This window comes from Homo sapiens, chromosome 11 (assembly GCF_000001405.40).
Source record: "Homo sapiens chromosome 11, GRCh38.p14 Primary Assembly".
In the NCBI taxonomy this organism is placed as follows: domain Eukaryota; kingdom Metazoa; phylum Chordata; class Mammalia; order Primates; family Hominidae; genus Homo; species Homo sapiens.
The window spans coordinates 5282041-5292665 of NC_000011.10; the positions used below are offsets into that span (position 1 = coordinate 5282041).

Here is a 10625-nt window from a genome sequence, read left to right on the forward strand (position 1 = left end):
ATTCAGTAAGTGTTTTCTGTTACAGTATTATGATAAATATATACATGCAACTATTACAGTTGCATGCTACCTTAAAGAATAATTGGAGGTACAGTTATTCGGAGGTATTTCTTGACTGTTAATGTTGGCAGCAGATTCAGCTTATTTTACAACACTATTCAGACCTCTCACAATAATTCCCTAGGAGATATTTAGACAACAAGCCATCATGTTGTAACTTCTCATTTGTCTTTTCTCACTTACCCTCTCATTCACCCACCTCTTTTGCTCTCTGTTCCTGTGAAAGTACCCTTCTACTTAGCCTACTTTTGACCAGTGTGCATGTCACTGGGCAATACAAGACCTCTGAGCTTTGGCTTAGAAGGAAATACAATAATGGCTAATTTTTGAGAAAGAGGAACTCTAGCCCATCAGGGAAGACATAGGGAGTTCTGTAGGAATGAGTTCTTCCATTCTTTTTACAGATGAGAAAGACAATGTGAAGCCCCAAATGATTTTAAAGTAGTTAGCATATGGAGAAATGGCTTGCATTGGTAAAATTTGGGGAAACTTTGTTGTCAGACCCGGCAAAGGGAGATGCAGAGAATCTGCAGTTTCTTCTCATTTCTTGTGTACCTATCACAGCACCACAGCACTATTCCTAGCATAGTTTAGGGCCCTCAGTTCTTGACGCTAGTTAGAATTTCACACAAACTTAAACTAGACAAACATATGTATGTTTCTGAGGCACTGAGGTCACTGCAGGATGAAGACGGAGCCAATGGGTTAGACCAGAAGAGTAAATGAACACTATAACACATAAACACTCCCTTTAACCAAAGTTGCAGCTTGACCAAGGGGTCAAAGGGTAATTTGGGCAGGCATGGGCCTTCAGTTTTCTCAAGTGTCTGCTTATAATTTGTCATATGACAATCTCTGTAACCCAAGAGAAAATCTCTTTATTCTGAAGTTGTTTCTAAATTTTTCTTTACCTTTTTCTCCCTCAAACTTTCCTGAAGAAATGCAATTATGGTTGAGGAAGTATGGTCTGCAACTGTGGCTTGGACCACAACTTCCAATCGACAAGAAGTAAAAGTAAGAAGCAAGGGCCACAGGGCAGGAATATCTACTTCTAATTTCTCGCATCCACAATATCTGAGTTTGTGTTTTGCTGTGGAAAAAACACTGTCTTCAGAGGTAGCAGAACTGGGTCTACATCCTAGCCTTACTACTTGGTGGTTCTGTAAGCTTGGACAAATTATTTCATGTCTTTGATTTTCGAGTCCCCAGTTAATAAGAGCTCATGTAATGTAGACAGTAGGAGAGCTCAGACCATCTGACTTCTAATTACTAATTGTCTACTTATTAGCTTGTGCTTTCAATAAGTTGATCTACACTACAAGTACATTGGGCTCCTCATCAATAAATGAGGTAATAATCTACTTCTGAGTATTGGTGTGAGTAAAACTAAGTTAATTCATATAATAAACTTCTTTTTTTTTTTTTGAGATGGAGTCTCACTCTGTCGCCTAGGCTGGAGTGCAGTGGTGCAATCTTAGCTCACTGCAACCTCCACCTCCTGGGTTCAAGTGATTCTCCTGCCTCAGCCTCCTGAGTAGCTGGGATTATAGACGCGTGCCACCACACCTGGCTGATTTTTTGTATTTTTTAGTAGAGAAGGGGTTTCACCATGTTGGCCAGGCTGGTCTGGAACTCCTGACCTCAGGTGATCCAATTGCCTTGGCCTCCCAAAGTGCTGGGATTACAGGCATGTAATCCCATATATGAGCCACCGTGCCCGGCCTCATATGATAAACTTAAATTTGATTCTAGCATATACTAAGTACTCAAGAGGTGTTACTTATCATTAGTATTAATTATAGTATGTTCAATAATACATATCTCACAGAATTACCATATGTAATGAGATTATTAAATATCATAAAATGGCACCTGACATATAGAAAGATTTCAGTAAGTATTAATTCCCACTTCTCTTTCATTTACCTCCAGCCTAAATCTACACTATTTCCTCGTGTCTCTCATGTGGTTTCTAGTCCCTTCACCATCTTGTTTCCCTCTCAACTCCTGTGCAGATTCCTAAAAATTTCTCATGTTCAGAACCTTGGGCTTCCATGTTTCCAGTGAAGTCAGATTTTTTTAGATGGCAAAGTTGCTGTTAGACAATTTCATCTGTGCCCTGCTTAGGAGCTTAATCTTTAATGAAAGCTAAGCTTTCATTAAAAAAAGTCTAACCAGCTGCATTCGACTTTGACTGCAGCAGCTGGTTAGAAGGTTCTACTGGAGGAGGGTCCCAGCCCATTGCTAAATTAACATCAGGCTCTGAGACTGGCAGTATATCTCTAACAGTGGTTGATGCTATCTTCTGGAACTTGCCTGCTACATTGAGACCACTGACCCATACATAGGAAGCCCATAGCTCTGTCCTGAACTGTTAGGCCACTGGTCCAGAGAGTGTGCATCTCCTTTGATCCTCATAATAACCCTATGAGATAGACACAATTATTACTCTTACTTTATAGATGATGATCCTGAAAACATAGGAGTCAAGGCACTTGCCCCTAGCTGGGGGTATAGGGGAGCAGTCCCATGTAGTAGTAGAATGAAAAATGCTGCTATGCTGTGCCTCCCCCACCTTTCCCATGTCTGCCCTCTACTCATGGTCTATCTCTCCTGGCTCCTGGGAGTCATGGACTCCACCCAGCACCACCAACCTGACCTAACCACCTATCTGAGCCTGCCAGCCTATAACCCATCTGGGCCCTGATAGCTGGTGGCCAGCCCTGACCCCACCCCACCCTCCCTGGAACCTCTGATAGACACATCTGGCACACCAGCTCGCAAAGTCACCGTGAGGGTCTTGTGTTTGCTGAGTCAAAATTCCTTGAAATCCAAGTCCTTAGAGACTCCTGCTCCCAAATTTACAGTCATAGACTTCTTCATGGCTGTCTCCTTTATCCACAGAATGATTCCTTTGCTTCATTGCCCCATCCATCTGATCCTCCTCATCAGTGCAGCACAGGGCCCATGAGCAGTAGCTGCAGAGTCTCACATAGGTCTGGCACTGCCTCTGACATGTCCGACCTTAGGCAAATGCTTGACTCTTCTGAGCTCAGTCTTGTCATGGCAAAATAAAGATAATAATAGTGTTTTTTTATGGAGTTAGCGTGAGGATGGAAAACAATAGCAAAATTGATTAGACTATAAAAGGTCTCAACAAATAGTAGTAGATTTTATCGTCCATTAATCCTTCCCTCTCCTCTCTTACTCATCCCATCACGTATGCCTCTTAATTTTCCCTTACCTATAATAAGAGTTATTCCTCTTATTATATTCTTCTTATAGTGATTCTGGATATTAAAGTGGGAATGAGGGGCAGGCCACTAACGAAGAAGATGTTTCTCAAAGAAGCCATTCTCCCCACATAGATCATCTCAGCAGGGTTCAGGAAGATAAAGGAGGATCAAGGTCGAAGGTAGGAACTAAGGAAGAACACTGGGCAAGTGGATCCAGGTTGTCCAACGCTGAAAGTAGGAATCTAAGCACTAGTCTCTGGATGCTAGGAGGGCCTCTGCATGGGTAACTCTTTCAACTAGCCAGGGGCTGGACTGTGGAGAAACCATTTCCAGATAGAAGTGAGGAGATTCCAGCAGGAAACACTTAAGAGAGGATCCCTGGAAGTTCGGGGCAGGAGGCTCCCTGTCACATGAAGGAAACCTGCTCAGCGTAGGCTCTAGGTTCTTCCCTACTCTTATCCAATGGGGCTTCTGATTTTAAGCCAGTCTTCACAAAGCCCCAGATTTCTACATGCTGGAGCCCTGAATGGGCAGGAAGCATTGCGGTTTCCATTTCATTCAGAGCTCTTTCATACCCTGCTTCCCCATAGTTTGTCTCAACATTTCTGTTGATAATCTGATTCATGCAACCAAGAATTATGAGAGAGCCTTCAGTCATGCCTAGGCCTGCATTTATTGTTGTGCATATGATGGGGTAGCAGACAAGAAAACGTTAACAGCATAGACTTTCTCAGAGCTATATGAGTTTGGGAATTAATCAAGACCAGCCTTTTGCTCAGGGTAGAAATCCCCTATAGGGATTTATTCAATGATGGGTTAAAAGCTTTCTATATGGTGAGGAGCTCACAGATTTTCCAAGCCCTTGCTTTTGCTAGACAGCTTAATGTTTATGAAATTCTTACACACAGAAGAATCTTCTAATCCTGGGTTACATAATATAACTTGATTCCCTATTCCAGAAGATAATATTCCCATATTCTGAAGCATTCATGCATTTGTTAAATAATAGGCATAGTGACAAGTGCCAGAACTCTAACAGTCAACCAGAGAGCCACAGTTTTCAACTTCACAAAGTTAACCATCTAACTGAAGACAGCAGCAATCAAAACCACCACCCCTTCTCCACATGGTGTAGTCTTTCCTGATGTCAGGGATGTTAGGCTCAGGTTAGGAAAGTCAGACTATCATCCCAGAGCAGGACACAGACGAATAAAGTGTAATTTTTTAGTCACTTAGGAAAAACAGTGGAATGCAAAGAGTAAAAAATGCTTTCTGAATGGATAACTTGGCCTGGGAGGCCTTTGGAAGCAGAGACTGGAGCTTAAATTTAAACATCTTTGTATCCCCAGCATCCAGCATACAGACTGCCAAGAAGTACATGTCAATAAATATTTATTGGATAGTGAGCAAAGACATAATTAGGACCAAATCTCAATTCTACTATTTGCTAGTAGTTTATGTTTGTGTGTGTGAGAGTGTATGCTTGAGCAAGTTGAGAGGTAGTTTTTTTAACTGTAGTAAAATGGGGATAATAATAGTATCTACCTGAAAGAATCCAAGAGTATTAAATATGATTAATTATGCAAAGCACTAATTACAGTCTCTGATAGCCTTCAATAAATGTCAGTTATTTTTATTATTACAGTTAAAGATGAATGGGCATAAAGTACAGAACACTAGTTTTCACCTGCAGCAAGAATGATTGCAGTTAAACAAAAAATACTAGCAAACATTTCTAGAGTAGTTAGCATTTATAAGTCACTGCTTTAAACTCTTTGCATGTATTAACTCACTCGGGCTGCAGAACAATCTTATGAGCCTGTTAAAACTCCTGTAATCATGCTTATAATCCCAGCACTTTGGAAGGCTGAGGTGGGCAGATTGCTTGAGCTCCGGAGTCTGAGACCATCCTGTGTAACATGTGAAACCCCATCTCTACCAAAAATACAAAAAATTAGCGAGGTATGGTGGTGTGTACCTGTGGTTCCAGCTACTCAGGATGTTGAGGTGGGAGGACCGCTTGAGCCTGGGAAGTGCAAGTTGCAGTGAGCCGAGATTTTGCCACTACACTCCCATTTGGGTGACAGAGTGAGACCCTTTCTCAAAAACAAACTAATTAAAAAACCCTCCATTTTACAGATGAAGAAACTGAGTCATACAACTACTAAGAGAAACTGAGTCACTAATCACTCAGGTGGTCTGGCTCCAGCATCTGTACTCTTAATCTCTGCTCTATACTGCCCAAGACTTTTATAAAGTCAAGGGTTGAGTCACTGAAATGAGTTATTGGGATGGCTGTGTGGGAAGGGTGCTAAGTTCTTTCCTAAAGGTATGTGAGAATACAAAGGAAAGAAGCATCCTCCTTTTTACACACGTGAACTAGTGCATGCAAATCTGACACTCAGTGGGCCTGGGTGAAGGTGAGAATTTTATTGCTGAATGAGAGCCTCTGGGGACATCTTGCCAGTCAATGAGTCTCAGGTTCAATTTCCTTCTCAGTCTTGGAGTAACAGAAGCTCATGCATTTAATAAACGGAAATTTTGTATTGAAATGAGAGCCATTGGAAATCATTTACTCCAGACTCCTACTTATAAAAAGAGAAACTGAGGCTCAGAGAAGGGTGGGGACTTTCTCAGTATGACATGGAAATGATCAGGCTTGGATTCAAAGCTCCTGACTTTCTGTCTAGTGTATGTGCAGTGAGCCCCTTTTCCTCTAACTGAAAGAAGGAAAAAAAAATGGAACCCAAAATATTCTACATAGTTTCCATGTCACAGCCAGGGCTGGGCAGTCTCCTGTTATTTCTTTTAAAATAAATATATCATTTAAATGCATAAATAAGCAAACCCTGCTCGGGAATGGGAGGGAGAGTCTCTGGAGTCCACCCCTTCTCGGCCCTGGCTCTGCAGATAGTGCTATCAAAGCCCTGACAGAGCCCTGCCCATTGCTGGGCCTTGGAGTGAGTCAGCCTAGTAGAGAGGCAGGGCAAGCCATCTCATAGCTGCTGAGTGGGAGAGAGAAAAGGGCTCATTGTCTATAAACTCAGGTCATGGCTATTCTTATTCTCACACTAAGAAAAAGAATGAGATGTCTACATATACCCTGCGTCCCCTCTTGTGTACTGGGGTCCCCAAGAGCTCTCTAAAAGTGATGGCAAAGTCATTGCGCTAGATGCCATCCCATCTATTATAAACCTGCATTTGTCTCCACACACCAGTCATGGACAATAACCCTCCTCCCAGGTCCACGTGCTTGTCTTTGTATAATACTCAAGTAATTTCGGAAAATGTATTCTTTCAATCTTGTTCTGTTATTCCTGTTTCAATGGCTTAGTAGAAAAAGTACATACTTGTTTTCCCATAAATTGACAATAGACAATTTCACATCAATGTCTATATGGGTCGTTGTGTTTGCTGTGTTTGCAAAAACTCACAATAACTTTATATTGTTACTACTCTAAGAAAGTTACAACATGGTGAATACAAGAGAAAGCTATTACAAGTCCAGAAAATAAAAGTTATCATCTTGAGGCCTCAGCTTTCTAGGAATAATATCAATATTACAAAATTAATCTAACAATTATGAACAGCAATGAGATAATGTGTACAAAGTACCCAGACCTATGTGGTAGAGCATCAAGGAAGCGCATTGCGGAGCAGTTTTTTGTTTGTTTGTTTTTGTATTCTGTTTCGTGAGGCAAGGTTTCACTCTGCTGTCCAGGCTGGAGTGCAGTGGCAAGATCATGTCTCACTGCAGCCTTGACCTCCTGAGCTCAAGGGATCCTCCCATTTCGGCCTCCTGAGTAGCTGGGACTACAGGTGTACATCACATGCCTGGCTAATTTTTTTTTTTTTTTTAAGTAGAGACGAGGTCTTGCTATGTTGTCCAGGATAATATCAAACTCTTGAGCTCAAGCAGTCCTCCCACTTCTACCTCTCAAGTGCTGGAATTACAGACATGAGCCACCACTCCTGGCTTGCAGACTATTTAAATGACTAATTCCTGACACTACTTGAGGGATACTAGACAGTAGACAACACATCTTTAATATACCAAATGGGTGACTGTAGGGTTGAGAGGGAGATTAGAATTCAATGTTTTATGACCAAAAAGGCTTAAATCAGGCACAAGCTTAGGTCTTTTCAACTGTGAGGACCGGACTGAAAGTGTGCAGTTCAAGGCCCTGTAGTTGCTGTTTAACTGTTCCCAGGTGGAAGTCTCTTCAAAGAACCACTGGTGCAAAAAGGGAACTACCTGGGGATAAATATTTCCTCCAGAAAGGGGGAAAGTGCAAGCTCCCCTACCAAAAGCACCAGGCAAGTCCTTGTCTATTTTCCCTGAAGTTCTCAAAGAAATGAGACCCTTGTTTACCTTTAAGATTAGAGAAGGCTTGAAAAGTTTGAGCTGTGCCTTTGGAGGCCAACAAACTTTTCTCCTTTGTTGACCAAGTTCAGCTCTCCTGTATGCTTCCAAGGTCTGTTGCATCAAGAGTGAGAATTGAAGGTCTTAGAAGCTGGGATCTCAGATGTAGGGAAAAGAGGAGATTTCCTGTTCACTCACTGTTAAGATATGGCTGAAATTTTTTGATCTAGTCATCTACAAAGCATGAGTTGTGGGTCAGAAATTGTTTTTCACATCTTTTGACTTCCTTTGACATCAGAATATAACCTAGGAATTGATTACTTAAGTGAAGGCAAGGTACTTTGGTCTGGACAGGAACATTTTGAACAAGGTAGGGAGACAGCTATGAAGGCAAGCATTTATTCTATCTATCATCTATCTGTCTATCTATCTATCTATTCTTTCATCCACTTATTTATACATTTAAACAAAAAGTATAGAGCGTAGTATAATTTGTAAGTGCTCAGGGCTGTGTGTGTATGGATTGTTTGAAATGAAACTAAAGTGGGAGTATAATTCTACTGCCCCCTTAACCCTGTGGTCCCTACACTACCCTGCAAGACTCTTAGCTGCTTAGCTTAATTGTGAGGCTGATTTGGGGCATAGCACCCCATCCTCTCTGTCTTTCAACATCCTCATAATAACTTGAGAATAATTTTATAAAATATCACAATAGGGTCATGTTCAGTAGGGTGATATATAAAATTAGACAAGCCATAGTTTGAGTTTACCCTTTTGAATAAATATATGACAAAAGGCAATTTAATTATCTTTATGAGTTTGGAGGTATCCAGTATGAAATTTAGATAATACCTGCCTTCTAGTGTTGAAATTAGAACTTAATGATATAATGCATCAATGAACTTATTATAGTTCCTAGCACAAAGTAAGAATCCTTTCAATGTGTGTGTGTGTGTATGTATTTATCTGTTATTAATAGGAATCTTATGGGCATTATCTCACTTAATCCTTATTAATAACTATGAAGCAGGTATTTATTTGAGTTTTCCAAGTGAGTTAAGTATAGCTTGTAATACTTAAGGAAATATCCACAGGTTACATAGCTAGTATATAACTGAGAAATAATTTTATTTATATTATAAAACATTCTAACAATACAGATGTATATAAACTAAAAAACTGAAAGGGCTCATGCAACCCTACCTTCTCAATATCACTTCTTCACTTAGAAAAAACCAGCCTTAGCTGTCTGCTATGAATCCTTTCAAAATATACTTCTGAGAAATGAGAGAGAGAAATGGGGAGGGTAGAAGGAAGGAAGATAGGGTAAGAGACAGGGAAGGAGGTGTGGGGAAAGAAATTAAATTATTCTTTTCTCTGTCTCTTGAAAGAGCTCTTTCCATTACATTGAATCAAAGGTAATGTTGCCATTTCTGGACTCTTGAAATAAAGAAAGACCGATGTATGAAATAATTTTGAAAGTCTATGGCATTTTCAAAATGCAAGGTGATGTCTTACTAACTAGCCTTTGCTTTATTATTAGAAATGGGGAAGTGAGTATAGACATTTTATCAGGAGATATATTAGGAAAAAGGGAAACTGGAGAAACTGGGAGGAGTATCCAGATGTCCTGTCCCTGTAAGGTGGGGGCACCCACCTTCAATCAAAAGGGCTCCTTAACAACTTCCTTGCTTGGGGCTCCACCATCTTGGACCATTAGCTCCACAGGTATCTTCTTCCCTCTAGTGGTCATAACAGCAGCTTCAGCTACCTCTCTAAAGAGTCCTGCCAGATATAGGTCAGGAAATATAATCCACTAATAAAAAGAGAAACATTTTGACTGTAGTTGTTTGTTTTTTGTCATTGTGACTATCAATAACATTCTCACTCTTTCATCAGTAATCACTCAGGTTATTCTGTGACCAACAGACTGTGGGAAAAATCAGAGAAGGAGGCATCCTCATGCTTACTAGCCTAAACTGAAATTGCTATAGCAGAGTGAACCAGAAGGTTTACAGATATTTTCCACAAAGAGTAAAAGGATTGAAGCCTTCTCCAGATCAATGCATAGGAAATAATAATGGACCATAAAACCCATATTATGACGAACAACATTAGGATAAGTCCATATCAATTTTTAATCCAGTCATAAGCACAGACTACGTGAAGCACGTCCAAGTGAAGGCAGGAGAAATGAGAGGAGCAAGAAAGAGGAGCCATTTGATCAAGAATAGCAGAAAAAGGAAAGGCAAGTCATATTAACAAATGATTGTCATGCCAACAGTACAGATAACTCTGCTAATAAAGGTAGAGGCATAATACAGGTAGTAGCAGATATCTACATAGTAGTTAAAGGACATGGCCATCAGTACAGAAGATTCCATAAAGGAGAACCTAAAGAGGAAGAATAATTTGTCAGAAGCTTAAAAGCTGAACTCTGAGGCATTAAACTACAATATCCTTTTGACTGTGGAAAGGGTGGTGAAAGGAAAGTTCAAGGACATTTGAGCCAACATAGAGAGGAACATTGGCTTGGTGAGGGATATCTGTCCTGATGTTGTCCAGGATGGTGATGATACCCATATAAATAACGTAGAGAAAACAGGAGGGGATAGAGATCTAGACAAAGAGGCATCAAAGATAGGGATGTTTGTAAGGATGAAATAGAACGTTTTTTGCGTTAGTCACCGTGAGGATGACCGGTAAAGGCAATGCAGAGGCTAATGCCTTTGTTATTTTTTATTATTTCATTTTAAATTGACAAATAATAATTGTGTGTATTCATGGGGTACAACATGATGCTTTGGTGTACGTGTACAATATTAAATGGTTAAATAAGGCTAATTAACAAATCCACCACTTCACATACTTATTTTTTGTGGTGAAAACATTTAAAATTTACACTCTTCATTCAAAAATCTGGAACATAGTTAAAATGTCATATGTGTCAGGATGCAGTAATAGAT

At 40.3% G+C, this 10625-nt stretch overlaps 1 pseudogene, besides 94 other annotated features; it reads right to left on the reverse strand.

The window, feature by feature from the left end:
- Positions 1 to 1712: part of an enhancer, noted in NCBI's record as "MfeI-MfeI HS2 fragment in the HS2ALL construct", that runs on past the window's edge. NCBI's record gives its function as "enhances beta-globin gene expression in embyonic yolk sac, fetal liver and adult bone marrow of transgenic mice {active_cell/tissue: yolk sac(embryonic) | liver(fetal) | bone marrow(adult)}" and the evidence as "EXISTENCE:transgenic organism evidence [ECO:0001131][PMID:14636653]".
- Positions 1 to 4010: part of an enhancer, noted in NCBI's record as "MfeI-HpaI HS2-HS3 enhancer fragment in the HS23ALL construct", that runs on past the window's edge. NCBI's record gives its function as "regulates beta-globin gene spatial and temporal expression in transgenic mice; synergistic regulation by HS2 and HS3 combined" and the evidence as "EXISTENCE:transgenic organism evidence [ECO:0001131][PMID:14636653]".
- Positions 1 to 10275: part of a locus control region, noted in NCBI's record as "21.5 kb ClaI-BglII fragment from -1 kb to -22.5 kb; includes 5'HS1-5'HS5", that runs on past the window's edge. NCBI's record gives its function as "regulates developmental expression of the beta-globin genes" and the evidence as "EXISTENCE:transgenic organism evidence [ECO:0001131][PMID:3690667]".
- Positions 1 to 10625: part of a biological region, named in NCBI's record as "beta-globin locus control region", that runs on past both edges of the window. NCBI's record gives its function as "regulatory_interactions: HBB | HBBP1 | HBD | HBE1 | HBG1 | HBG2 | LOC107133510 | LOC110006319".
- Positions 1230 to 3550: an enhancer, noted in NCBI's record as "2.3 kb SpeI-HindIII HS3 fragment deleted in the beta-YAC LCR transgene". NCBI's record gives its function as "enhances epsilon-globin expression in the embryonic yolk sac of transgenic mice {active_cell/tissue: yolk sac(embryonic)}" and the evidence as "EXISTENCE:transgenic organism evidence [ECO:0001131][PMID:8692864]".
- Positions 1424 to 2019: a matrix attachment site, noted in NCBI's record as "596 bp HS3 amplicon showing matrix enrichment in non-erythroid GM00468 cell EcoRI/HindIII-digested DNA fractions". NCBI's record gives its function as "attaches to the nuclear matrix in GM00468 cells {active_cell/tissue: GM00468}" and the evidence as "EXISTENCE:fractionation evidence [ECO:0000100][PMID:12799453]".
- Positions 1713 to 4010: an enhancer, noted in NCBI's record as "MfeI-HpaI HS3 fragment in the HS3ALL construct". NCBI's record gives its function as "enhances beta-globin gene expression in adult bone marrow of transgenic mice {active_cell/tissue: bone marrow(adult)}" and the evidence as "EXISTENCE:transgenic organism evidence [ECO:0001131][PMID:14636653]".
- Positions 1783 to 1813: a protein binding site, noted in NCBI's record as "FP24 oligonucleotide; moderate GATA-1 binding". NCBI's record gives its function as "binds GATA-1 in K562 erythroleukemia cells {active_cell/tissue: K562}" and the evidence as "EXISTENCE:protein binding evidence [ECO:0000024][PMID:9129054]".
- Positions 1783 to 1813: a protein binding site, noted in NCBI's record as "FP24 oligonucleotide; moderate Oct-1 binding". NCBI's record gives its function as "binds Oct-1 in K562 erythroleukemia cells {active_cell/tissue: K562}" and the evidence as "EXISTENCE:protein binding evidence [ECO:0000024][PMID:9129054]".
- Positions 1799 to 1828: a protein binding site, noted in NCBI's record as "FP23 oligonucleotide; moderate Oct-1 binding". NCBI's record gives its function as "binds Oct-1 in K562 erythroleukemia cells {active_cell/tissue: K562}" and the evidence as "EXISTENCE:protein binding evidence [ECO:0000024][PMID:9129054]".
- Positions 1799 to 1828: a protein binding site, noted in NCBI's record as "FP23 oligonucleotide; weak GATA-1 binding". NCBI's record gives its function as "binds GATA-1 in K562 erythroleukemia cells {active_cell/tissue: K562}" and the evidence as "EXISTENCE:protein binding evidence [ECO:0000024][PMID:9129054]".
- Positions 1814 to 1839: a protein binding site, noted in NCBI's record as "FP22 oligonucleotide; moderate Oct-1 binding". NCBI's record gives its function as "binds Oct-1 in K562 erythroleukemia cells {active_cell/tissue: K562}" and the evidence as "EXISTENCE:protein binding evidence [ECO:0000024][PMID:9129054]".
- Positions 1829 to 1860: a protein binding site, noted in NCBI's record as "FP21 oligonucleotide; strong GATA-1 binding". NCBI's record gives its function as "binds GATA-1 in K562 erythroleukemia cells {active_cell/tissue: K562}" and the evidence as "EXISTENCE:protein binding evidence [ECO:0000024][PMID:9129054]".
- Positions 1829 to 1860: a protein binding site, noted in NCBI's record as "FP21 oligonucleotide; strong Oct-1 binding". NCBI's record gives its function as "binds Oct-1 in K562 erythroleukemia cells {active_cell/tissue: K562}" and the evidence as "EXISTENCE:protein binding evidence [ECO:0000024][PMID:9129054]".
- Positions 1841 to 1870: a protein binding site, noted in NCBI's record as "FP20 oligonucleotide; strong GATA-1 binding". NCBI's record gives its function as "binds GATA-1 in K562 erythroleukemia cells {active_cell/tissue: K562}" and the evidence as "EXISTENCE:protein binding evidence [ECO:0000024][PMID:9129054]".
- Positions 1841 to 1870: a protein binding site, noted in NCBI's record as "FP20 oligonucleotide; weak Oct-1 binding". NCBI's record gives its function as "binds Oct-1 in K562 erythroleukemia cells {active_cell/tissue: K562}" and the evidence as "EXISTENCE:protein binding evidence [ECO:0000024][PMID:9129054]".
- Positions 1935 to 1973: a protein binding site, noted in NCBI's record as "FP19 oligonucleotide; moderate GATA-1 binding". NCBI's record gives its function as "binds GATA-1 in K562 erythroleukemia cells {active_cell/tissue: K562}" and the evidence as "EXISTENCE:protein binding evidence [ECO:0000024][PMID:9129054]".
- Positions 1935 to 1973: a protein binding site, noted in NCBI's record as "FP19 oligonucleotide; weak Oct-1 binding". NCBI's record gives its function as "binds Oct-1 in K562 erythroleukemia cells {active_cell/tissue: K562}" and the evidence as "EXISTENCE:protein binding evidence [ECO:0000024][PMID:9129054]".
- Positions 2011 to 2043: a protein binding site, noted in NCBI's record as "FP18 oligonucleotide; weak YY1 binding". NCBI's record gives its function as "binds YY1 in K562 erythroleukemia cells {active_cell/tissue: K562}" and the evidence as "EXISTENCE:protein binding evidence [ECO:0000024][PMID:9129054]".
- Positions 2011 to 2043: a protein binding site, noted in NCBI's record as "FP18 oligonucleotide; strong USF binding". NCBI's record gives its function as "binds USF in K562 erythroleukemia cells {active_cell/tissue: K562}" and the evidence as "EXISTENCE:protein binding evidence [ECO:0000024][PMID:9129054]".
- Positions 2039 to 2068: a protein binding site, noted in NCBI's record as "FP17 oligonucleotide; strong YY1 binding". NCBI's record gives its function as "binds YY1 in K562 erythroleukemia cells {active_cell/tissue: K562}" and the evidence as "EXISTENCE:protein binding evidence [ECO:0000024][PMID:9129054]".
- Positions 2194 to 2223: a protein binding site, noted in NCBI's record as "FP16 oligonucleotide; moderate GATA-1 binding". NCBI's record gives its function as "binds GATA-1 in murine erythroleukemia cells {active_cell/tissue: MEL}" and the evidence as "EXISTENCE:protein binding evidence [ECO:0000024][PMID:8458325]".
- Positions 2194 to 2223: a protein binding site, noted in NCBI's record as "FP16 oligonucleotide; moderate Oct-1 binding". NCBI's record gives its function as "binds Oct-1 in murine erythroleukemia cells {active_cell/tissue: MEL}" and the evidence as "EXISTENCE:protein binding evidence [ECO:0000024][PMID:8458325]".
- Positions 2194 to 2223: a protein binding site, noted in NCBI's record as "FP16 oligonucleotide; strong YY1 binding". NCBI's record gives its function as "binds YY1 in K562 erythroleukemia cells {active_cell/tissue: K562}" and the evidence as "EXISTENCE:protein binding evidence [ECO:0000024][PMID:9129054]".
- Positions 2216 to 4122: an enhancer, noted in NCBI's record as "1.9 kb HindIII HS3 enhancer fragment". NCBI's record gives its function as "chromatin domain-opening activity in stably transfected K562 cells; synergizes with the HS2 enhancer to allow stage-specific expression of the gamma- and beta-globin genes in transfected HEL and K562 cells {active_cell/tissue: HEL | K562}" and the evidence as "EXISTENCE:reporter gene assay evidence [ECO:0000049][PMID:8662652, PMID:10196210]".
- Positions 2264 to 2743: an enhancer, noted in NCBI's record as "0.8 kb PvuII-PstI HS3 fragment". NCBI's record gives its function as "modest enhancer of the epsilon-globin promoter in transfected K562 cells {active_cell/tissue: K562}" and the evidence as "EXISTENCE:reporter gene assay evidence [ECO:0000049][PMID:8662652]".
- Positions 2288 to 2316: a protein binding site, noted in NCBI's record as "FP15 oligonucleotide; weak Oct-1 binding". NCBI's record gives its function as "binds Oct-1 in K562 erythroleukemia cells {active_cell/tissue: K562}" and the evidence as "EXISTENCE:protein binding evidence [ECO:0000024][PMID:9129054]".
- Positions 2288 to 2316: a protein binding site, noted in NCBI's record as "FP15 oligonucleotide; strong Sp1 binding". NCBI's record gives its function as "binds Sp1 in murine erythroleukemia cells {active_cell/tissue: MEL}" and the evidence as "EXISTENCE:protein binding evidence [ECO:0000024][PMID:8458325]".
- Positions 2288 to 2316: a protein binding site, noted in NCBI's record as "FP15 oligonucleotide; strong YY1 binding". NCBI's record gives its function as "binds YY1 in K562 erythroleukemia cells {active_cell/tissue: K562}" and the evidence as "EXISTENCE:protein binding evidence [ECO:0000024][PMID:9129054]".
- Positions 2406 to 2444: a protein binding site, noted in NCBI's record as "FP14 oligonucleotide; strong YY1 binding". NCBI's record gives its function as "binds YY1 in K562 erythroleukemia cells {active_cell/tissue: K562}" and the evidence as "EXISTENCE:protein binding evidence [ECO:0000024][PMID:9129054]".
- Positions 2446 to 3040: an enhancer, noted in NCBI's record as "PstI-AvaII HS3 fragment". NCBI's record gives its function as "enhances transcription of the beta-globin gene in transfected K562 cells {active_cell/tissue: K562}" and the evidence as "EXISTENCE:reporter gene assay evidence [ECO:0000049][PMID:12582237]".
- Positions 2467 to 2496: a protein binding site, noted in NCBI's record as "FP13 oligonucleotide; moderate Oct-1 binding". NCBI's record gives its function as "binds Oct-1 in K562 erythroleukemia cells {active_cell/tissue: K562}" and the evidence as "EXISTENCE:protein binding evidence [ECO:0000024][PMID:9129054]".
- Positions 2467 to 2496: a protein binding site, noted in NCBI's record as "FP13 oligonucleotide; strong YY1 binding". NCBI's record gives its function as "binds YY1 in K562 erythroleukemia cells {active_cell/tissue: K562}" and the evidence as "EXISTENCE:protein binding evidence [ECO:0000024][PMID:9129054]".
- Positions 2467 to 2496: a protein binding site, noted in NCBI's record as "FP13 oligonucleotide; weak GATA-1 binding". NCBI's record gives its function as "binds GATA-1 in K562 erythroleukemia cells {active_cell/tissue: K562}" and the evidence as "EXISTENCE:protein binding evidence [ECO:0000024][PMID:9129054]".
- Positions 2474 to 3120: a DNaseI hypersensitive site, noted in NCBI's record as "5'HS3, also known as HS3a, HSS3, HSIII or -14.8 hypersensitive site; predominantly erythroid; the nucleotide coordinates are approximate for this feature". NCBI's record gives its function as "necessary for high-level beta-globin gene expression and for position-independent and copy number-dependent activity of the LCR in transgenic mice" and the evidence as "EXISTENCE:in vivo cleavage assay evidence [ECO:0001075][PMID:2370867, PMID:3879975, PMID:3480506, PMID:3690667]".
- Positions 2522 to 3023: a transcriptional cis regulatory region, noted in NCBI's record as "range from the chr11.791.38 to chr11.791.32 gRNAs in the HS3 region targeted for Mosaic-seq CRISPR perturbation". NCBI's record gives its function as "positively regulates HBE1 gene expression in K562 erythroleukemia cells {active_cell/tissue: K562}" and the evidence as "EXISTENCE:mutant phenotype evidence [ECO:0000015][PMID:28369033]".
- Positions 2594 to 2623: a protein binding site, noted in NCBI's record as "FP12 oligonucleotide; weak GATA-1 binding". NCBI's record gives its function as "binds GATA-1 in K562 erythroleukemia cells {active_cell/tissue: K562}" and the evidence as "EXISTENCE:protein binding evidence [ECO:0000024][PMID:9129054]".
- Positions 2594 to 2623: a protein binding site, noted in NCBI's record as "FP12 oligonucleotide; moderate NF-E2 binding". NCBI's record gives its function as "binds NF-E2 in K562 erythroleukemia cells {active_cell/tissue: K562}" and the evidence as "EXISTENCE:protein binding evidence [ECO:0000024][PMID:9129054]".
- Positions 2594 to 2623: a protein binding site, noted in NCBI's record as "FP12 oligonucleotide; moderate Oct-1 binding". NCBI's record gives its function as "binds Oct-1 in K562 erythroleukemia cells {active_cell/tissue: K562}" and the evidence as "EXISTENCE:protein binding evidence [ECO:0000024][PMID:9129054]".
- Positions 2594 to 2623: a protein binding site, noted in NCBI's record as "FP12 oligonucleotide; strong YY1 binding". NCBI's record gives its function as "binds YY1 in murine erythroleukemia cells {active_cell/tissue: MEL}" and the evidence as "EXISTENCE:protein binding evidence [ECO:0000024][PMID:8458325]".
- Positions 2616 to 2838: a transcriptional cis regulatory region, noted in NCBI's record as "0.2 kb Fnu4H1-HphI HS3 core (HS3c) fragment deleted in the beta-YAC transgene". NCBI's record gives its function as "necessary for expression of the epsilon-globin gene in embryonic cells and gamma-globin gene in definitive cells of transgenic mice; necessary for histone acetylation across the beta-globin locus and for RNA polymerase II recruitment to the LCR" and the evidence as "EXISTENCE:transgenic organism evidence [ECO:0001131][PMID:9632803, PMID:16055715]".
- Positions 2654 to 2854: a transcriptional cis regulatory region, noted in NCBI's record as "TAD1.SE1.HS3 sgRNA1-sgRNA3 range targeted for Mosaic-seq CRISPR perturbation". NCBI's record gives its function as "positively regulates HBG1 and HGB2 gene expression in K562 erythroleukemia cells {active_cell/tissue: K562}" and the evidence as "EXISTENCE:mutant phenotype evidence [ECO:0000015][PMID:28416141]".
- Positions 2657 to 2681: a protein binding site, noted in NCBI's record as "FP11 oligonucleotide; strong GATA-1 binding". NCBI's record gives its function as "binds GATA-1 in K562 erythroleukemia cells {active_cell/tissue: K562}" and the evidence as "EXISTENCE:protein binding evidence [ECO:0000024][PMID:9129054]".
- Positions 2657 to 2681: a protein binding site, noted in NCBI's record as "FP11 oligonucleotide; strong YY1 binding". NCBI's record gives its function as "binds YY1 in K562 erythroleukemia cells {active_cell/tissue: K562}" and the evidence as "EXISTENCE:protein binding evidence [ECO:0000024][PMID:9129054]".
- Positions 2673 to 2702: a protein binding site, noted in NCBI's record as "FP10 oligonucleotide; strong YY1 binding". NCBI's record gives its function as "binds YY1 in murine erythroleukemia cells {active_cell/tissue: MEL}" and the evidence as "EXISTENCE:protein binding evidence [ECO:0000024][PMID:8458325]".
- Positions 2685 to 2715: a protein binding site, noted in NCBI's record as "FP9 oligonucleotide; strong Sp1 binding". NCBI's record gives its function as "binds Sp1 in murine erythroleukemia cells {active_cell/tissue: MEL}" and the evidence as "EXISTENCE:protein binding evidence [ECO:0000024][PMID:8458325]".
- Positions 2685 to 2715: a protein binding site, noted in NCBI's record as "FP9 oligonucleotide; strong YY1 binding". NCBI's record gives its function as "binds YY1 in K562 erythroleukemia cells {active_cell/tissue: K562}" and the evidence as "EXISTENCE:protein binding evidence [ECO:0000024][PMID:9129054]".
- Positions 2709 to 2742: a protein binding site, noted in NCBI's record as "FP8 oligonucleotide; weak YY1 binding". NCBI's record gives its function as "binds YY1 in K562 erythroleukemia cells {active_cell/tissue: K562}" and the evidence as "EXISTENCE:protein binding evidence [ECO:0000024][PMID:9129054]".
- Positions 2709 to 2742: a protein binding site, noted in NCBI's record as "FP8 oligonucleotide; weak GATA-1 binding". NCBI's record gives its function as "binds GATA-1 in K562 erythroleukemia cells {active_cell/tissue: K562}" and the evidence as "EXISTENCE:protein binding evidence [ECO:0000024][PMID:9129054]".
- Positions 2741 to 2780: a protein binding site, noted in NCBI's record as "footprint 3 (FP3) or FP7 oligonucleotide; strong GATA-1-binding". NCBI's record gives its function as "binds GATA-1 in K562 and MEL erythroleukemia cells {active_cell/tissue: K562 | MEL}" and the evidence as "EXISTENCE:protein binding evidence [ECO:0000024][PMID:8458325, PMID:9129054]".
- Positions 2753 to 2783: a protein binding site, noted in NCBI's record as "FP7 oligonucleotide; weak YY1 binding". NCBI's record gives its function as "binds YY1 in K562 erythroleukemia cells {active_cell/tissue: K562}" and the evidence as "EXISTENCE:protein binding evidence [ECO:0000024][PMID:9129054]".
- Positions 2774 to 2812: a protein binding site, noted in NCBI's record as "footprint 2 (FP2) Sp1-binding oligonucleotide". NCBI's record gives its function as "binds Sp1 in murine erythroleukemia cells {active_cell/tissue: MEL}" and the evidence as "EXISTENCE:protein binding evidence [ECO:0000024][PMID:8458325]".
- Positions 2774 to 2812: a protein binding site, noted in NCBI's record as "footprint 3 (FP3) TEF-2-binding oligonucleotide". NCBI's record gives its function as "binds TEF-2 in murine erythroleukemia cells {active_cell/tissue: MEL}" and the evidence as "EXISTENCE:protein binding evidence [ECO:0000024][PMID:8458325]".
- Positions 2803 to 2841: a protein binding site, noted in NCBI's record as "FP6 oligonucleotide; weak YY1 binding". NCBI's record gives its function as "binds YY1 in K562 erythroleukemia cells {active_cell/tissue: K562}" and the evidence as "EXISTENCE:protein binding evidence [ECO:0000024][PMID:9129054]".
- Positions 2805 to 2838: a protein binding site, noted in NCBI's record as "footprint 1 (FP1) or FP6 oligonucleotide; moderate GATA-1-binding". NCBI's record gives its function as "binds GATA-1 in K562 and MEL erythroleukemia cells {active_cell/tissue: K562 | MEL}" and the evidence as "EXISTENCE:protein binding evidence [ECO:0000024][PMID:8458325, PMID:9129054]".
- Positions 2859 to 2888: a protein binding site, noted in NCBI's record as "FP4 oligonucleotide; weak Oct-1 binding". NCBI's record gives its function as "binds Oct-1 in K562 erythroleukemia cells {active_cell/tissue: K562}" and the evidence as "EXISTENCE:protein binding evidence [ECO:0000024][PMID:9129054]".
- Positions 2859 to 2888: a protein binding site, noted in NCBI's record as "FP4 oligonucleotide; moderate NF-E2 binding". NCBI's record gives its function as "binds NF-E2 in K562 erythroleukemia cells {active_cell/tissue: K562}" and the evidence as "EXISTENCE:protein binding evidence [ECO:0000024][PMID:9129054]".
- Positions 2859 to 2888: a protein binding site, noted in NCBI's record as "FP4 oligonucleotide; weak GATA-1 binding". NCBI's record gives its function as "binds GATA-1 in K562 erythroleukemia cells {active_cell/tissue: K562}" and the evidence as "EXISTENCE:protein binding evidence [ECO:0000024][PMID:9129054]".
- Positions 2938 to 2967: a protein binding site, noted in NCBI's record as "FP3 oligonucleotide; strong YY1 binding". NCBI's record gives its function as "binds YY1 in K562 erythroleukemia cells {active_cell/tissue: K562}" and the evidence as "EXISTENCE:protein binding evidence [ECO:0000024][PMID:9129054]".
- Positions 2938 to 2967: a protein binding site, noted in NCBI's record as "FP3 oligonucleotide; weak GATA-1 binding". NCBI's record gives its function as "binds GATA-1 in K562 erythroleukemia cells {active_cell/tissue: K562}" and the evidence as "EXISTENCE:protein binding evidence [ECO:0000024][PMID:9129054]".
- Positions 3117 to 3146: a protein binding site, noted in NCBI's record as "FP1 oligonucleotide; strong GATA-1 binding". NCBI's record gives its function as "binds GATA-1 in K562 erythroleukemia cells {active_cell/tissue: K562}" and the evidence as "EXISTENCE:protein binding evidence [ECO:0000024][PMID:9129054]".
- Positions 3117 to 3146: a protein binding site, noted in NCBI's record as "FP1 oligonucleotide; strong YY1 binding". NCBI's record gives its function as "binds YY1 in K562 erythroleukemia cells {active_cell/tissue: K562}" and the evidence as "EXISTENCE:protein binding evidence [ECO:0000024][PMID:9129054]".
- Positions 3361 to 4075: a DNaseI hypersensitive site, noted in NCBI's record as "5'HS3.5, also known as HS3.5, HS3b, HS3.2 or secondary HS3; weak and predominantly erythroid; the nucleotide coordinates are approximate for this feature". NCBI's record gives its function as "domain-opening activity" and the evidence as "EXISTENCE:in vivo cleavage assay evidence [ECO:0001075][PMID:3690667, PMID:7828582]".
- Positions 3950 to 6832: an enhancer, noted in NCBI's record as "2.9 kb StuI fragment deleted in the delta-5'HS4 beta-YAC transgene". NCBI's record gives its function as "weakly enhances beta-globin gene expression in day 12 fetal liver in transgenic mice {active_cell/tissue: liver(fetal)}" and the evidence as "EXISTENCE:deletion mutation evidence [ECO:0005510][PMID:17433733]".
- Positions 4041 to 4070: a protein binding site, noted in NCBI's record as "HS3.2 6005 GATA1- and Oct1-binding oligonucleotide". NCBI's record gives the evidence for it as "EXISTENCE:protein binding evidence [ECO:0000024][PMID:11867225]".
- Positions 4041 to 4070: a protein binding site, noted in NCBI's record as "HS3.2 6005 GATA1- and Oct1-binding oligonucleotide". NCBI's record gives the evidence for it as "EXISTENCE:protein binding evidence [ECO:0000024][PMID:11867225]".
- Positions 5811 to 6545: a DNaseI hypersensitive site, noted in NCBI's record as "5'HS4, also known as HS4, HSS4, HSIV, -18 or -18.4 hypersensitive site; predominantly erythroid; the nucleotide coordinates are approximate for this feature". NCBI's record gives its function as "necessary for high-level beta-globin gene expression and for position-independent activity of the LCR in transgenic mice" and the evidence as "EXISTENCE:in vivo cleavage assay evidence [ECO:0001075][PMID:2370867, PMID:3879975, PMID:3480506, PMID:3690667, PMID:7828582, PMID:1736298]".
- Positions 6050 to 6434: an enhancer, noted in NCBI's record as "SacI-SspI HS4 fragment". NCBI's record gives its function as "enhances transcription of the beta-globin gene in transfected K562 cells; EKLF-dependent activity {active_cell/tissue: K562(+EKLF)}" and the evidence as "EXISTENCE:reporter gene assay evidence [ECO:0000049][PMID:12582237]".
- Positions 6057 to 6347: a transcriptional cis regulatory region, noted in NCBI's record as "range from the chr11.792.5 to chr11.792.3 gRNAs in the HS4 region targeted for Mosaic-seq CRISPR perturbation". NCBI's record gives its function as "positively regulates HBE1 gene expression in K562 erythroleukemia cells {active_cell/tissue: K562}" and the evidence as "EXISTENCE:mutant phenotype evidence [ECO:0000015][PMID:28369033]".
- Positions 6143 to 6308: a transcriptional cis regulatory region, noted in NCBI's record as "TAD1.SE1.HS4 sgRNA1-sgRNA3 range targeted for Mosaic-seq CRISPR perturbation". NCBI's record gives its function as "positively regulates HBG1 and HGB2 gene expression in K562 erythroleukemia cells {active_cell/tissue: K562}" and the evidence as "EXISTENCE:mutant phenotype evidence [ECO:0000015][PMID:28416141]".
- Positions 6153 to 6165: a protein binding site, noted in NCBI's record as "HS4 Sp1-binding site; oligo 920 fragment". NCBI's record gives the evidence for it as "EXISTENCE:protein binding evidence [ECO:0000024][PMID:2027748]".
- Positions 6153 to 6165: a protein binding site, noted in NCBI's record as "HS4 CACC- or TEF-2-binding site; oligo 920 fragment". NCBI's record gives the evidence for it as "EXISTENCE:protein binding evidence [ECO:0000024][PMID:2027748]".
- Positions 6154 to 6433: an enhancer, noted in NCBI's record as "280 bp SacI-AvaI fragment deleted in the deltaHS4c beta-YAC transgene". NCBI's record gives its function as "enhances gamma- and beta-globin gene expression during definitive erythropoiesis in fetal liver and beta-globin expression in adult blood in transgenic mice {active_cell/tissue: blood(adult) | liver(fetal)}" and the evidence as "EXISTENCE:deletion mutation evidence [ECO:0005510][PMID:2027748, PMID:11545582]".
- Positions 6170 to 6192: a protein binding site, noted in NCBI's record as "HS4 CACC- or TEF-2-binding site; oligo 890 fragment". NCBI's record gives the evidence for it as "EXISTENCE:protein binding evidence [ECO:0000024][PMID:2027748]".
- Positions 6170 to 6192: a protein binding site, noted in NCBI's record as "HS4 Sp1 binding site; oligo 890 fragment". NCBI's record gives the evidence for it as "EXISTENCE:protein binding evidence [ECO:0000024][PMID:2027748]".
- Positions 6190 to 6291: a transcriptional cis regulatory region, noted in NCBI's record as "101 bp HS4 HS-forming element (HSFE)". NCBI's record gives its function as "required for HS4 formation in stably transfected MEL cells {active_cell/tissue: MEL}" and the evidence as "EXISTENCE:reporter gene assay evidence [ECO:0000049][PMID:7828582]".
- Positions 6200 to 6224: a protein binding site, noted in NCBI's record as "HS4 HS-forming element inverted GATA-1 sites; oligo 870 fragment". NCBI's record gives its function as "required for HS4 formation in stably transfected MEL cells {active_cell/tissue: MEL}" and the evidence as "EXISTENCE:protein binding evidence [ECO:0000024][PMID:2027748, PMID:7828582]".
- Positions 6229 to 6248: a protein binding site, noted in NCBI's record as "HS4 HS-forming element SP-1 site; oligo 840 fragment". NCBI's record gives the evidence for it as "EXISTENCE:protein binding evidence [ECO:0000024][PMID:2027748, PMID:7828582]".
- Positions 6229 to 6248: a protein binding site, noted in NCBI's record as "HS4 CACC- or TEF-2-binding site; oligo 840 fragment". NCBI's record gives the evidence for it as "EXISTENCE:protein binding evidence [ECO:0000024][PMID:2027748]".
- Positions 6254 to 6271: a protein binding site, noted in NCBI's record as "HS4 HS-forming element AP-1/NF-E2 site; oligo 810 fragment". NCBI's record gives its function as "required for HS4 formation in stably transfected MEL cells {active_cell/tissue: MEL}" and the evidence as "EXISTENCE:protein binding evidence [ECO:0000024][PMID:2027748, PMID:7828582]".
- Positions 6254 to 6271: a protein binding site, noted in NCBI's record as "HS4 HS-forming element AP-1/NF-E2 site; oligo 810 fragment". NCBI's record gives its function as "required for HS4 formation in stably transfected MEL cells {active_cell/tissue: MEL}" and the evidence as "EXISTENCE:protein binding evidence [ECO:0000024][PMID:2027748, PMID:7828582]".
- Positions 6298 to 6327: a protein binding site, noted in NCBI's record as "HS4 CBF1 binding site". NCBI's record gives the evidence for it as "EXISTENCE:protein binding evidence [ECO:0000024][PMID:9727046]".
- Positions 6410 to 6438: a protein binding site, noted in NCBI's record as "5'HS4 RUNX1 allele-specific palindromic binding site". NCBI's record gives the evidence for it as "EXISTENCE:protein binding evidence [ECO:0000024][PMID:27492765]".
- Positions 7075 to 10084: an insulator, noted in NCBI's record as "3 kb 5'HS5 fragment in the micro-gamma-5 transgene; HindIII-BamHI betaGlb-MAR or beta-MAR fragment". NCBI's record gives its function as "protects an Agamma promoter transgene from position effects in transgenic mice but only when it brackets the transgene; insulates against position effects and confers high levels of copy number-dependent transcription on a polyoma enhancer in stably transfected HT1080 cells {active_cell/tissue: HT1080}" and the evidence as "EXISTENCE:reporter gene assay evidence [ECO:0000049][PMID:8112598]" and "EXISTENCE:transgenic organism evidence [ECO:0001131][PMID:12034837]".
- Positions 7287 to 8123: an insulator, noted in NCBI's record as "5'HS5A fragment in micro-gamma-5A transgene". NCBI's record gives its function as "protects a position-sensitive Agamma promoter transgene from position effects in embryonic but not adult stage transgenic mice; not copy number-dependent" and the evidence as "EXISTENCE:transgenic organism evidence [ECO:0001131][PMID:12034837]".
- Positions 7386 to 10275: a matrix attachment site, noted in NCBI's record as "EcoRI-BglII pGSE271 fragment b SAR encompassing 5'HS5". NCBI's record gives its function as "associates with the nuclear scaffold" and the evidence as "EXISTENCE:fractionation evidence [ECO:0000100][PMID:3208739, PMID:2559410]".
- Positions 7431 to 10084: an enhancer blocking element, noted in NCBI's record as "2.6 kb HS5 HindIII fragment". NCBI's record gives its function as "developmental, stage-specific enhancer-blocking activity in transgenic mice" and the evidence as "EXISTENCE:transgenic organism evidence [ECO:0001131][PMID:14645507]".
- Positions 8051 to 8450: a matrix attachment site, noted in NCBI's record as "393 bp HS5 amplicon showing matrix enrichment in K562 cell EcoRI/HindIII- and EcoRI/BamHI-digested DNA fractions". NCBI's record gives the evidence for it as "EXISTENCE:fractionation evidence [ECO:0000100][PMID:12799453]".
- Positions 8060 to 8099: a silencer, noted in NCBI's record as "(GATA)7 5a sequence". NCBI's record gives its function as "represses HS2 enhancer activity in transfected K562 and HEL cells {active_cell/tissue: HEL | K562}" and the evidence as "EXISTENCE:reporter gene assay evidence [ECO:0000049][PMID:10936858]".
- Positions 8060 to 8099: a protein binding site, noted in NCBI's record as "(GATA)7 5a sequence". NCBI's record gives its function as "represses HS2 enhancer activity" and the evidence as "EXISTENCE:protein binding evidence [ECO:0000024][PMID:10936858]".
- Positions 8764 to 9763: a DNaseI hypersensitive site, noted in NCBI's record as "5'HS5, also known as HS5, HSS5, HSV or -21.4 hypersensitive site; not exclusively erythroid; the nucleotide coordinates are approximate for this feature". NCBI's record gives its function as "enhancer-blocking activity" and the evidence as "EXISTENCE:in vivo cleavage assay evidence [ECO:0001075][PMID:2370867, PMID:3879975, PMID:12941700]".
- Positions 8838 to 10084: a transcriptional cis regulatory region, noted in NCBI's record as "1.2 kb HS5 fragment in the HS5-epsilon-p-CAT construct". NCBI's record gives its function as "synergizes with the ERV-9 LTR enhancer in stably transfected K562 cells {active_cell/tissue: K562}" and the evidence as "EXISTENCE:reporter gene assay evidence [ECO:0000049][PMID:9878258]".
- Positions 9364 to 9435: an enhancer blocking element, noted in NCBI's record as "h5'HS5 enhancer-blocking fragment". NCBI's record gives its function as "blocks activation of the Agamma-globin promoter by the mouse 5'HS2 enhancer in transfected K562 erythroleukemia cells {active_cell/tissue: K562}" and the evidence as "EXISTENCE:reporter gene assay evidence [ECO:0000049][PMID:11997516]".
- Positions 9364 to 9435: a protein binding site, noted in NCBI's record as "5'HS5 CTCF-binding oligonucleotide". NCBI's record gives its function as "binds CTCF and is necessary for enhancer-blocking activity {active_cell/tissue: K562}" and the evidence as "EXISTENCE:protein binding evidence [ECO:0000024][PMID:11997516, PMID:12861010, PMID:18461170]".
- Positions 9427 to 10311, reverse strand: OR51AB1P (olfactory receptor family 51 subfamily AB member 1 pseudogene; annotated as a pseudogene).